The sequence below is a fragment of the Homo sapiens genome, chromosome 7 (assembly GCF_000001405.40).
Source record: "Homo sapiens chromosome 7, GRCh38.p14 Primary Assembly".
Lineage (NCBI taxonomy): Eukaryota > Metazoa > Chordata > Mammalia > Primates > Hominidae > Homo > Homo sapiens.
In genome coordinates this window covers 25,486,145-25,499,704 of record NC_000007.14, presented here as the reverse complement: position 1 = coordinate 25,499,704, position 13,560 = coordinate 25,486,145, and the positions used below count along the sequence as shown (strand labels likewise).

Here is a 13,560-nt window from a genome sequence, read left to right as displayed (position 1 = left end):
GTTTAAGTGAGAAGAGGAGAGGAAATGGAAGCAGTGAAATTCAGGCAGCTTTCAAAGAGTTTTGCTGTAAAGTGGGGGAGGTAGAAAAGGGATAGTGTCAGAAGGAAAAGTGAACTCAATTTTGTTAGTTTCCATTTCTAAGATGAGAGAGACAGTATTGTTGTGTGCTGGTGGAAATGACCTAGTAGAGAGAGGAAGCTGATGGTATAGGGGAAAAATAGGGAGAATTGCTGGAGCAAAGCCTGTGAGCAAGCAAGGGGGATAGGATCTAAGGCATACGCAAAGGCTAGTTTTGGACAAGAGCAAGGCTAATTCCTTAATGGGAGCAGGGTGTAGAAGGTCCAAATCCTGGTAGATAGGAAGATGCTATGGGAGCTGTGGAACTTATCTTCTGAATATTCCCATTTTGTTTTCCAGTGAAGTGGGAAACAAGCTCATCACCTAAAAATGAAGATAGAGGAGAGGTGTTAGAGATTTCAGGAGCCATACATTAGTGAAATAGTTATCTATGAGAGAAGAAACTCTCAATATATTCCAAAAATTAGAAAAAGTCACAATGCAATACAACTGGGACTTAATAATAAAAACAAAAAGTTCTTACTGCCTAGATATTAAAAGCTTGTCATTAAATAAGTTTTGGGTAACTTTTGGGTAAAAAACTAAAACTGTTAAATATCTTGAAAATAGAAGTCATGAAAAAAGTTCCTAAAAGTCTCTGCCACAATGAGCCAAGTGGGCTTTATTGCAAAAATGCAAAGAGTTCAATTTTAGAATATCTATTAATTTATTCACCATATTAACAGATTCCAGGAAGAAATTCATATGATCAGTCTCATAAATGTTAAAAAGGCATTTGATAAAATTTAATATCCATTCAAGTTTTATTAATACATTGAATATTAGGATTTCAATTTCACTACTATTATGTAAGACTTTTCTGAAGATGACGATATAATTATGCAAGATAAAGAAACTGGACATATAAATACTGAAAAGAAGAAAATAAAACTATCATTATTTGTGGATGATAGAATTTCCTGCCTGGAAAACCTCCACGTATTTATTTAAACCTGTTACAAACAGTAACAGATGACTGGGCACATAGCTAACGTACAGAAGCTTATAAAAAGTTATTAGAACAATCAAAAAGTGTTAGAAGATGTAATTTTAAAAAGTCACATTTACAGGAGTTCCAACAAATATAACATATTTAGAAATAAACTTTAAATGCTACTTAAACAGAGAACTTTAAAATGTTCCTGAGACAAAAGATTTCAACAAATGGAAAGGCAAAGGAAGACTTGATGTCTTCAACAATATGTTAATTTTTCTTAAGTTGATTTATACATTTAATAAATTACAATATAATAGTAATAGTAATTTTTGATAAGACAGGCTAATTCCAAACCTCAAGTAAAAAACAAATAATATCTTAAAAATTCTAAAAAAAATTTTGAAAAAGAATAGCAATGTTCTAATATCAGTCCTATCAGATATTAAAGCATATTATAAAGCTACAATAATTAAAACAGCATAATGTTAACATATAAATAAATAGCAAATCAATGTAACAAAACAGGAAGCCTAACATAGGCCAAAATACATACAGAAATTTAGAATATAGACATAAAGGATGCATGTATACCTAAGGATTTTAGGATATGATTAAGGTGGCATTTCCCATCATTGGGGAGCAAATAGATTACACAATAAATGATGTTTGAATAACTGGGTAGTATTATGGAAAAAAATTAAAGTGCATCTATACCTCACTTCTCACACCAGAATATGTACCAAATGGAAATCAGAGGCTTAAATGTCAAAAAAGTTAAAGCCATAAAAATCCTAAAAATTTGCTTGTATATACATTGAAAAATGTCTGGAATGATACTTAAGAAACTGATAACACTATTTGTCTCTGGATAGGGGCACTAGGTGACTGGACAAGTGCAGGAGAGAGTTTTGAACCATGTGAATGGTGAAAAATTAAAAAATAATTCAAATAAATAAGCACAGATTACCAATATGAATATTTTTGTATTGCTGAGATTATTGCACAGAGTAGACATTCAATAAATATAAGTCCTTGGGGATGCTGAAGAACAAAAATCTTAATTCTGGCAAACCATCATTCTCCCTTGCCTGAACTCCTGGAAGAAGCTGGGAGTGGCAGGTGGATGAAGGGAGGGTTGGGGGATGGAGAGAATGGGAGGGTAGGACTGTGAGATCCTGTTATGTACGTTTTGGCATTCCCCACAGTACTTAGCACAGCATCAGCATCTAATAAGAGTGCGTTCCATATTTATTGAACTGGAATAAATGTTTAAAAAATTTTTTTTCCAGACTAAAAGTGATATCAAGAATCCCAACTTCCACAGAACAGCCTCAGGAAATCTCCACAATCCCAAGCCACTGTGTAGTTTCAGCCCTAATAAAGGATGATTTCCTCTCTGCACTTGGGAAACTGAAAAGGAATACATGGCCTCACAGGCCCTATTCTGGACACAGAATAGCCATGCTTGTACTCCTTCCAATTTTGTTTCTGTCTTGATTTTCTCTTGTCTCTTCTGTGGACTAAAGCTCTCCTTTCCCCATTAAATGCAGACTGAGCACCCACATTGTGTCAGGATCTGCACGTAGAATCCATGCGCAGCCTTCAGAGAGAGGGCCTGCAGAATGCGTTCAAAGATGATAAACCCGCGTGGGAGGGACGTGGGCCCTGGGTTCCCAGCCCTGGCTCCATGGCTGGCTCACGTATCGGCTGGATGACTTTAGGTACCTTGTATTTCTCATCTACACACAGGGGACCAGCATAAAAGGCAGGAAAACAAAGTGTCCTGTGAATGTCAGTTATTGATGCATGGTGTACGGCAAACACCATTTTTTTTTCTTCCTGTTTTTCTTTGTCTTTTAGTTTCTGTTTCTCTAACCTTCACCCCTTTACCTTTTCAATGGAACTTTGCTATTTCCTATTTCCTATTCAGATCTTCCTCTTTTCTCAAATCTGGAAGGGAGCAGCTTGCTACTGTTCAATCTGCGGAGAAGATGGGTCTCAAGAGACTATTCCCTGCTAATTTGGCGACCTCTCCTGAATCAGCTTCAGATGGTTAGTCTTGGGCCTTTTAATGGGGAAGTGGTTTGTGCAAGTCATTTCTGGCTGCCTGGTTTGATCAGAGGGAGGAAATGCAGGGTTGTGGTGCACTGAAGGAAAAAGACCCATGTATGGCAACCAAGCCCTCATGCATCCTTTCAGAATTTGGGAATTGGGGCCCAAATACGCCCTAAATCAGCGATGCCTCTCAGTCCTGGCAGATTTTTAAACATCTTTAGGTTTCACCCTGAATAGAAATAAACTTCACAACCATGGGACCCACAAGAATAATTTCTAGTCTTTGAAAAATTATTCTCTATTATTTGATAGCTGATGTGGTAGAAGTGATATTATACCTACCCACAAATTTTAATACTCAGATTATAGGAGAACAATCTATTTTATATTTATGCTTTCTTTTATGGGCCTGATTGAAATAAAATGCTGGCTGGAGTTGCATTAGATTTCTCTGAACAGAGTCTCAACAGAATTGAAAAGAATGTCAGCTGACTGTTCTGAGCAGAGATTCTAAGTATAACCATTTGGTTTGTTCTTCCAGAGATACTTTTTTTGCGGTTTGTTTTTGGTTCTCTTCCAATTTGCATGTTTACCAAAATCCCAAGGAAAGAAAAAAACCATTAAGATTTTTTTTCTATAATCCATTTAAGTCAAAAATGGAGAAGAGATAGAAAAATTTGTAGCTTTCAAACACCATTAGTTTGCTAATGATAGCTTTCATCCTATGACAGTTCTCAGACTGATAAGATGCTCCAAAACATCCAGCATGAAGGAAGAGGGCCATTTATAGGCCCTCGCTCTGTCTCTGCAGCTTGCACATGTTTTCAAACATAATTTCATGCCTGCTTTCTGACAGCTCATTAAACAAAGGCCTCTTGGTGCCTATATTGCCCATCTCCCTGCTGAGAGTGTAACATATTTACGGCCTTTGCAGACTGCTGGCTGCTGGCGCCTTCTCTTGCCCGTGGCCTGCCTGCCAACTGCTTATCAGTCTCCCCCAAAGGTGACATCCTCCTCATTTGTTTAGGTAGTGATGGTCCCCAGTTTGACCCTTGGAGGCAAACAGCAGGGTGATTAGGAGCAGCTCCTGCACTGGCCAGATAAAAGCAATCACATGGTGAAGACAGCGCAAGCTGCTCAGGGGAGCCTCGGTAGGCTGAGTGCTCCCATTCAAGAACACACTGGCAGTTCGTTAGCTCGACAGCTGGCAACGTGAAGACCTTGTGGGATTTCTGCCTCGGAGAAAGCAAACAAGGTTTCAGGAGTGTGGAGGAGCTATCTGTGGCTGTGTACAAGGGTGATCAGAGCCGCTTGTTCCTAATTACCTGCCTCTTGATTGCCATTAAACCATCATTACACATCCAGACCCATAAAAGCCCCTATGAATGCAGCACCTTATACTTAATTTTTATCCCTTCCTCCTGCTTTTGCCAAAAACATTTTGCTGGGGTCCTAGGAAGATAGATGAAGACATCTTGGATGCAGTGAGAGGCTGCAGGCTGCGGCCATCTGCCATTTTGGGATCTGACAAAACTGGTAACAGGTTTCTGCCACTGTGTTTTCCTGGGGTGGTGCATCTTTTCTTTCTGAGAGAGAAAAGGGAGACAAGGGAAAAGAGGCAAAGAAGGAGGGCATGTCCTCTTTTTTCATGCTGGGAAAAATGAGTCTTGGTTAATTCAGCCCTTAGCTGTTGTAGGTGAATGGCCAGGCTCCAGGGTCAGGGTTTTGTTGAAGCCTGGGATGACCTTGGCCTTGGGAACACCTGTGTTATGTCCCTGGGATCTGATTGATGCCAAAGTAGGACCTAGACTGTGATGTGACTGATGACAACAATGGCCGCTGCATTTCAAGTACCTCCCATGAATGAGGCAATGTGTTAAGCATTTTCTTATAGAACAGTGTCTTATTTAATGCAACACCACTTGGAGGCAGGTAACTTTAAACCCATTGGACAAATGATAAAACAGGCTCAGAGAGACTGCAAGCCTCCACCACAGTCTCAGCTAGTCAGCAATTGAATCCAGGTCTGTTGCTTTCCAAAGTCACCATTCTTAACCTCCAAGCTTCTGCTGAATAGACCATTACACTGGTACAGCACTTCAGAATTCACTGTTGCTAATCCTGTTTCCCCTCTGAAAATTCTCAAACCCCAGCACTCATGACCATGAAATGGAGAGGTGGTGAATGGTTGAGAGGCCCAAACATTCTGCATTAGGAGAGACTCCCAGTCGGGGATCAGCAATCTTCTTTTTTTTTTCTTCATTTTTCAGAAGCACTGTAGGTGATTCTATATGAGGGATCAGGAGGGGTCTTTGGATCATACTTTGAGAAACGATTTCCCAACCTGGGAGCTCCTGGGGAGAGTGGCCTCCTTTATCCCGTTACCTCCAGTCACCTGCAGAGTGCTCTAGCACACAGTAGGTGCTCAATCAGTATGAGGGGTGGTTCGGTTTGATGGGATCCTCTCTGTGTGTCTTATTTTAAACTGTATTGGCACCTCTATACTCTCTAATCCTCTTGAAAGGAAGCAGAGAATAAATAAATAAAATTTATGTTTCTAACATGCCCCAAGCACTGGTGAGACGACGTCATTCATAGTCACGCAGCCTCTTCCTTATGTGAAGACAGCTGAGCCTTTCTGACCTCCAGCAGGTCAGCATGAAGGTGATTCTGTCAGACCTTATTGTTGTATTGAATATTAACGATAGAATTATCATTGCTCAGAAAACATCCCTGTATGCACATCTGTTAGTGTGCATAAGCATCATTACCTATTACAAATACAAATTATTTGCTATGTTGTTTCTAAATAGTTTGAACTCTAGCTTGTGTTCTGGGTATGGTCTGTAGTTTTGTATGTACTGCAGTTTGTGAGAACTGATCTGTGTGCACTTTAATTATCTGTGCATGTTATTTTTGATGAATCCTGATTTGGAAAGTAGATATCATTACTTACATTTTATGGATGAGGAAAGTGAGGCTCAGAGAAACTAAGTAATCTTCCCATGATGGCATAGCTAGCAAGTGGCAGAGGCAAAATTTTAGTAAGTTCTGTATGCTCTAAAATAACATTTCTATTTCACTATGTAGCCTAAAGAACAAATGGTGATTTTAAAAACGGAATAAAAGAAAATACTGGAGAAAGTAGTGGTAATTATTAATGATGGTTGCTTTTGAGCAATAAGATTTTGGTTCTTTATATTGTTTTATATTTCCTAAATTGTATATGTAAAACTTTTATAATTGCAGGAAACCTTACACACTCACACACACACGCACACACACACTCACTATCAGGGAGCACACTATCTGGCTAAACTTAATTATTGTTAATTCATTAAGAGATTTTTGTTTTAGCAGTTCATTTTAATATATGAGTTTTTGATTTAAAAAAACCAACAGAGCAAATATTAGAGCACAGTAGGACTGCCTCATAATTAAAATATTCTCACCACAATGAAACTAGATTATTGCCAGTGGAATAAGTTTTGATTTGATTCTTAGCAACAGAAAACAGAACACTAATTGTTATTGTTTAAAAACCACAATTTTTAGAATCTTATGTTTGCCTGATGTTTCAGACTGAGCTGAGGATGGAGTGAAGACTCTTCTTTTTTCTACCACTCTGAAAGTTCATAAGGGATTTTCTCTCCTACCATTTCTATTAATTTCAATAATCACTGATTCATACATCCCATGTACCAGGCACTGTGTGTGAAGAGTGAATGATTTCCTGATCGTTGATTACCAGAATTGGACTTGATTCCCAGCAGCCTTGTAAGGTAGGTTGAGTATGTCCTATTATCCCCCTTTTACCAAAGAGAGGCCTGAGGAGCAGGAACTAGGTGATGTGCTCCAGCCTCTCAGTTAGCAGACAGCGGCACGAGCACTGCAGTCTAAGCTGTCCTGCTCTAACCCTGGTTTCTTTGAGCTACATGACCTCTGGTGCTTCTGTGGGTGGAAGCTGTTCTTGAGCAAGACTATAACAAAGATTAGATTGGATCTTTTAGTATCATTTCACACCTCGTATTTTGGAACCCATTTGTCACTCTCTCACATCTACCCATGGCCTAGCTGCATGCCGCACCATACGGCCACCCTACCAAGGATATTTCAGCACCCCAGCTCCTTCTGGTCCCCCTCTCCACCCCCTCCTTTGTCTCCCAGTCCAAACCTGGAGAACTTGTACCCCATTTGCTCAGGAAACAGGTGAATTAATCTGTGATAAGACATGATGCGGATTCCCAGGTGACAGTCTTGCTTTTTAAGAGACTTATGAATGTTTTGCCTTTGCCCAAAGCACATCCTAGCAGTGGGATGATTAGATAACATGGAGGCCAATGTTATGGGAGGGCAAAAAAAACAAACGGGAAAAATATTATTGAAATGCACTGGAAGAAAAACACATGAGAACATCATTTCACTTTAGAGAAATACTTTTCTTAGTGAATACCCAAATTTTATAACTCTGGGAGATCCATTAGTGAGCGATGACAAAAGCCTTTAAAAAGTTCATAGCCTTTGGGTAAGTAAATCAATTTCTGAGAATCTATCGTAAGAAATAATTCTAAATACATAAAGAGTTTTGTGCATGAAGATGTTCATTACAAGATTACTAATAATATTTTTAAATGACAAAGGGAAATTCATCATAGTATAAATTATGATACAATTAATTATAGTCATTACAAATGATGTCTGCAAAATGTTTTCAGATAATATGAAAAATTTTCTGTAAGATAAAAATGAGAACAACAGAATATCATTTAAATAGGGATTGTGATAATCATGCTCAAATATCTGAAAGACGGTCTAGAGGTAATTATTTTTAGAAACTGCTACTATTTATAATGTTTTTATTCTTTCTACTTTTTTACTTTCTAAGTTTTCTTAAGGGGAAATGCCACTTTACTAATGGGAAAAAAATTAAATTTGTTTGGAAAATATTATTTTAATACAATTTTTTACTTATTTTATACTTTTATTAGAAAAGAGAATAGTCCTCTAATGTACAAAGATAGGGTCTTTTGAAGGTCTTTTATAGTCGCCAGGCTGAAGTGCAGTGGCTGGATCTTGGCTCACTGCAAGCTCTGCCTCCAGTGTTCAAGGGATTCTCCTGCCTCAGCCTCCCGAGTAGCTGGGACTATAGGTGCGCGCCACAACACCCGGTTAATTTTTGTATTTTTAGTAAAGAAGGGTTTCACCATGTTGGCCAGGATGGTCTCTATCTCCTGACCCCGTGATCCATCCACCTTGGCCTCCCAAAGTGCTGGGATTACAGGTGTGAGTCACTGCGCCCCGCCTTTAATACAAATTTGTACACACCTCAGAGCAGCACGCAAGTGGCCAATTCCTAGAGTGATTTAAGAAATAAACATGCTATATAACCGTGCAGAAAAGAGTTAACAGCAGGTCTGACTGTTATCCTTTGACAGGCCTGCTTACAAGGTTGGCCTTTGGCTGGTGTCTGGAATTTAGGTTTCAGGAGGGTTCCCACCAGGATTAACTGATAAGAGTGGCCCACTATGTTTAAACTATTTGTACAAATACTATGGTTTATGTGGAACACCTGCTTTCTTCCTGAGAAGCTGGCATTTGAGTCTGTGCTAGGCAGAGGCTGCTTATGTGGCCATCCACCAGTAAAAACTCTGGGGGCAAGCTTCCCTGAGTGACAACATTTCACACGTGTTGTCACAACTTTTTTCTTTGACAGCTTCTGTTAAATGTATCCAAATGTTAGGCTATGTCCTCCGAAGGTAGGCTGAGAGAATGAAGTGTATTCTGTGTGACTCCTTTGAGTAAGAAAGGACCTCTGGAAGCTTGTGCCTGGTTGCCCCAGGACCTTGCCCATGTGCCTTTTTCTTTGGCTGAATATGCTTGGTTTCTTTTCTTTCTTTCTTTCTTTTTTTTCCTTTTTAGAGACTGGGTCCTGTCATGTTGCCCAGGCTGGAGGGCAGTGGCTATTCACATGTGCAATCATAGAGTACCACAGCTTCAAACTCCTGGCCTCAAGTAATCCTCCTGCCTCAGCCTCCCAAGTAGCTGGGACCACAGGCATGCACTACCTCATCCAGTTCTTGGTTTCCTTTCAATGGAGTAATCATTGCCATAATCTGACTCTATGCTGAGCTCTGTGAGTCCTCCTAGAGAATCACTGAACCTAGGAGTGGTCTTCAGACCGACCAACAAAGTAATTATGGAGCTCTAAAAAATCACTTTTTCCCCATCTTCATCCTTAAGTATTTAACTATATATAAGCCATAGGATAATGCTTTTCTGAAATATAATATTAATTTTGGTGCTAGGAGAGGGAATTATCCCATGCTTTTGCTTTGCAGATGAGGAGACAAAGCTAAGAGCAAGTAAAGTGATGTGGCCAAAGCAGCATCAGAACCCGGGACTCCTGATTCTCAGTTCGTTTGCTGGAGTACCCCACCCCTTCACAGACGATTGTCTTTCTGTGAATGGGAGACCATGAAAAATATGGGGAAAAGAGAAACAGCAGTAACAACAGAATGCGGAATAAGTGAAGGGTGACTAGGGATATTGGATGCAAAACAGCTAGTGATGGGAAAATGGGCTTTCCCTAATTATTCATAAGAGCTGCATAAATGGCTGTTCCAGAACAGGAAGCTCAAACAGCATGGTCTCAGGCTACAGGTTCATCTACTGTAAGTAAGGAAATACTTGAAAAAGGTGAACCTGTAATGTAAACTGGGCTAACTTGCTCTTCATTCTTCCTTTTTTTTTTTTTTTTTTTTTTTTTTGAGACGGAGTCTCTCTCTGTCGCCCAGGCTGGAGTGCAGTGGCGCAATCTCGGCTCACTGCAAGCTCCGCCTCCCGGGTTCACGCCATTCTCCTGCCTCAGCCTCCCGAGTAGCTGGGACTACAGGCACCCGCCACCACGCCCAGCTAATTTTTTTTTTTGCATTTTTAGTAGAGAAGGGGTTTCACCGTGTTAGCCAGGATGGTCTCGATCTCCTGACCTTGTGATCTGCCCGTCTCAGCCTCCCAAAGTGCTGAGATTACGGGTGAGAGCCTCGGTGCCCGGCCCTTGCTCTTCATTCTTTTGACTAGTAGTTATTCCAAGCCATTAAACATGCATTTTGTTAGCATTGCCCCTTGGAAATACACATGTCCCAACCCAGGTTGACCAAAATAAAAGTGAATATTTAGATGCTGATTCCAAGATGAATTGAATTGGTATCTCACTAAATGAGTGTCAGGTAGGCCACAGCTTCCTGACTTGCTTTCTAAGCAAGAGAAGAGGAGAGTTACAGGGAAGGAGATTCTTTAAAAACCGGGAGCTTTCAATCAAATGTCTGTGTCTTATTCACCAAATATTTTTTAATAAATTTAAAAACCTGCCAACTCATACTCATCACTTAAAAACAAATGGAAGAATATTGTTTTTTTGCATCTGCAATGCACTTAACCGTAATTCTGTTCATTCAAGGGGTAAAATCATTGATCATGTAATTAAGAGCCATTCATTCTTTTATTGGGAGCCTGAAGAGGAACATAACACATGTCTAGAGGACCTATACCCTTTTGTTTCTAACAGGAACCTGGTACAGAACTTGCACGTAGTTAAGTACTAAGTATATTTTCTTTTAATTGATAACTGGGTGAATTCTGGCTTAAGGCAGCATGTGAAGTTGCCTCCCACAATTTATTCCTAACTGCCACCAAGAAATATGGAAAAAGTAGAAGGGAAGGAAAGAAAGAAGGAGAGAGAGAGAGAGGAAGAAATGAGGTGCCAAAACCTAATGAGGAAAATGAAAACACTTGAAAGATGCCAAAACTTTAAAAAGTGGCAGCAGATGAAAAGTATGGGAAGGGGTGAAGTTATCCCTATACCTACTCATCAAGGTCTTTCTAGTGCACTGAAAAACTCCTGAAACTTATCACCAATGTCCCTGTATTTGTCTGCTTGAGATGCCATAACAAAATCCCACAGACTGAGGGGCTTAAACAACAGAAATTTATTTTTTCACTATGGGGAGGCTAGAAGTTCAAGATGAAGGTGCCAGCAGGGTTGGTTTCTGTTGACACCTGTCTTCCTGGTTTACAGATGTCTGCCTTCTCAATATCCTCACATGGCCTTTCCTCTGAGCAGCATGGAGGGAGACAGATAGAGATGGAGGGAGGGAGAGAGAGAGAGAGAGAGAGAGAGAGAGGTCTCTGGTATCTTTTCCTCTTCTTACAAGAACATCAGTCCTAGCAGATTAGGTCTGAACCCTTAATGACCCCATTTAATCTTAATCACATTCTTAAAGGCACTATCTCCAAATATAGTCACATTAGGATTAGGGCTTAAATATATGAATTTGGGGGAGACCAATTCCGTTTATAATAGTCCCCAAACTGAATGGGTATCTGCATTCTTTTTTCTATTTCTATATTCATGAAGCACTTGGAGTTTTTTCCTTATCTCTTTGCCAAGCGTTGTAAGTTACATCAAAGAAATCAAATGTTTATAGTCCACAATCTGGGTTCATTCTTTCTCTAGATTTTCTCAACCTTTGTTTCTTCCTGTTAAATCTTTTCTTAAAAACAAACAAATGCCCATACACAGAAAACTGTTGTCAAATTAGTATTATACCTTTGTTCCAATAACCCTGGGAAGCTGAACAGTGGCATTTGGGCAACCCAGACTGCCTTCTGAAGCCTTTGGCAGTTGTAGAGTTACTTTGGGCACACGTAGGAAATTATATCCAGCTGATGACACCAACAATGTAAATTACAATTAGTTAATTTGTTGATTTTACAAAGCAAATCATTTAATGTCAGGTATCTTGGTCTAGTTCAAACTAGACGAGGGTTTGGTTACCCCAATTAAAATCTGGGCTTCTCTCCTTAAAGTAACATATTGTTCTGAAGAGGCCAATGTACCATCTTAACTATATTCACTTACCTTAGTTCAAATGTGAACAAACAAAATACACAGCACTGAGAACTTGCTTTTTGCAGGGGGAAAAATCCTTATAATGGTCTTTCAGTTAAAAAAAAATGTTTCAAACTCTTTCTGCCTCTCTCAAGATCAGTCTCTAATAATTCTAGATTTGATCTTTACATTTAATATTTTAGAGGTTCAATATGTAGCTTTACAACTGAATTGATTATAATATTTTTATCAGTCTTAATGAGTGAGGGTGAAATATGTGCACCATTTAAGCTTTTTTAATTTTAAAAAATTCTTTAATTTTTTTCTATTTTCTATTTTTTTGTCTTAATTTGTATTCCTAGATCTCATCTGTTGGTGAATATTGGTAGCAGTGATGAAGGGATGATTCAACAACAAAAGTTCTGGAGAGAAAATAGACATCTCCCTCCTCATTCAACACCTTCAGTCCTATGGCCATAATCCTCCCAGTTAGAAGGCATTTGGGGAAATAAGGAACATAATTAGCATTTACCTATACAGAATCACAACTAAGTGATTGCTTACTACTTTCTCTCTTTTTATGCCTTCCTATTTCTTTCCCTAGTGGGTTCAGCACGGGAAAAGTCTGGCTTTGTATCATCCCAGAGTCATGGAGCAGATTTCCATACTGACCTCAAAGACCATCTGATGAAAACATGATCCCTTTTGTTCTATAGGGATATATAAAAACATTATAAATCAGCATCTTATTTGTTCATTTATATCTTCCATTTCTGTGATGTTTGACAGTTGTTTTGTCGATGGCAACTACCATATGTTAAAAATGAGCTTCTGGAATGCAATTCTGGCTTGTGTCCATCAGAGAAGGAAATTCTGGAATGCCCTACAATTTGTACTTTCCTAGCAATTCTTGATTCTTAAAACATTCTATGAATGCTCTCATTGGAGAAAAAGTTATAACAAAATCCACTTCTTTTAAGCAATCACAAAAATTAGGTGTCTGAATGTACAAGGTATCGATGTTTGGGCAAAATTGAAATTATTGTGCTTGTTTCATGGGAAAAGCTTAGGGGAGTTTATTGTCCTAAGTTGGGTTTCCTGAAAACAGACTCACAGCCTTTGAGGCAGAGATTTGCATGCTGGCAGTTTGTTTGGGAATGAACTTGAGAATATTTGTAAGGAAGAGAAGGATGCAGGAAGAAGCAGAGGGAGAAGTTGTACCGCAATGCAGTTGCAATGGAGGACTCAGCCAATCTTACTGGGAGCTCTGGAGCTGCAATGGGCCTTCAGAATTGTCACAAATTGAGGCAAGGGGCTGCGCCTTTGTATCCCTGCATGAATAAATTATGAGACTCAGGCCACCTCTGGGGAGGGGCAAGGCTGCTTCCTTTGGCAGAGGGCAGTTCTCAGAAAGGATCACAATTGTGAACTTTTAGCAACCAATCCTCTCTGCTTCTGGGAGAATGAGTGCCTCAGTCATGAATTGGTTACACCACATTCCCACTGTTTTGTATCTTCACAAAATGTGTGCATGTTTCAAAGAGGGAATCATCGGACCATCCTT

The 13,560-nt window shown here is 39.4% G+C and overlaps 1 long non-coding RNA gene across 1 annotated transcript, besides 2 other annotated features; it reads left to right on the top strand.

The window, feature by feature from the left end:
* Window positions 2,444-5,717: an enhancer, noted in NCBI's record as "VISTA enhancer hs1677". NCBI's record gives its function as "enhancer in: neural tube[6/6] | hindbrain (rhombencephalon)[6/6] | midbrain (mesencephalon)[3/6]" and the evidence as "EXISTENCE:transgenic organism evidence [ECO:0001131][PMID:17130149]".
* Window positions 2,937-3,076: an enhancer, noted in NCBI's record as "active region_25769". NCBI's record gives its function as "activates an Ori minimal core promoter by ATAC-STARR-seq in GM12878 lymphoblastoid cells {active_cell/tissue: GM12878}" and the evidence as "EXISTENCE:reporter gene assay evidence [ECO:0000049][PMID:35858748]".
* On the top strand, window positions 2,964-12,562 carry LOC105375196 (uncharacterized). The gene is made up of 3 exons (XR_927106.2): window positions 2,964-3,106; window positions 6,815-6,891; window positions 12,359-12,562. It is a non-coding gene; the product is annotated as an uncharacterized LOC105375196 (long non-coding RNA).
* Window positions 12,563-13,560: the final 998 nt, after the last annotated feature.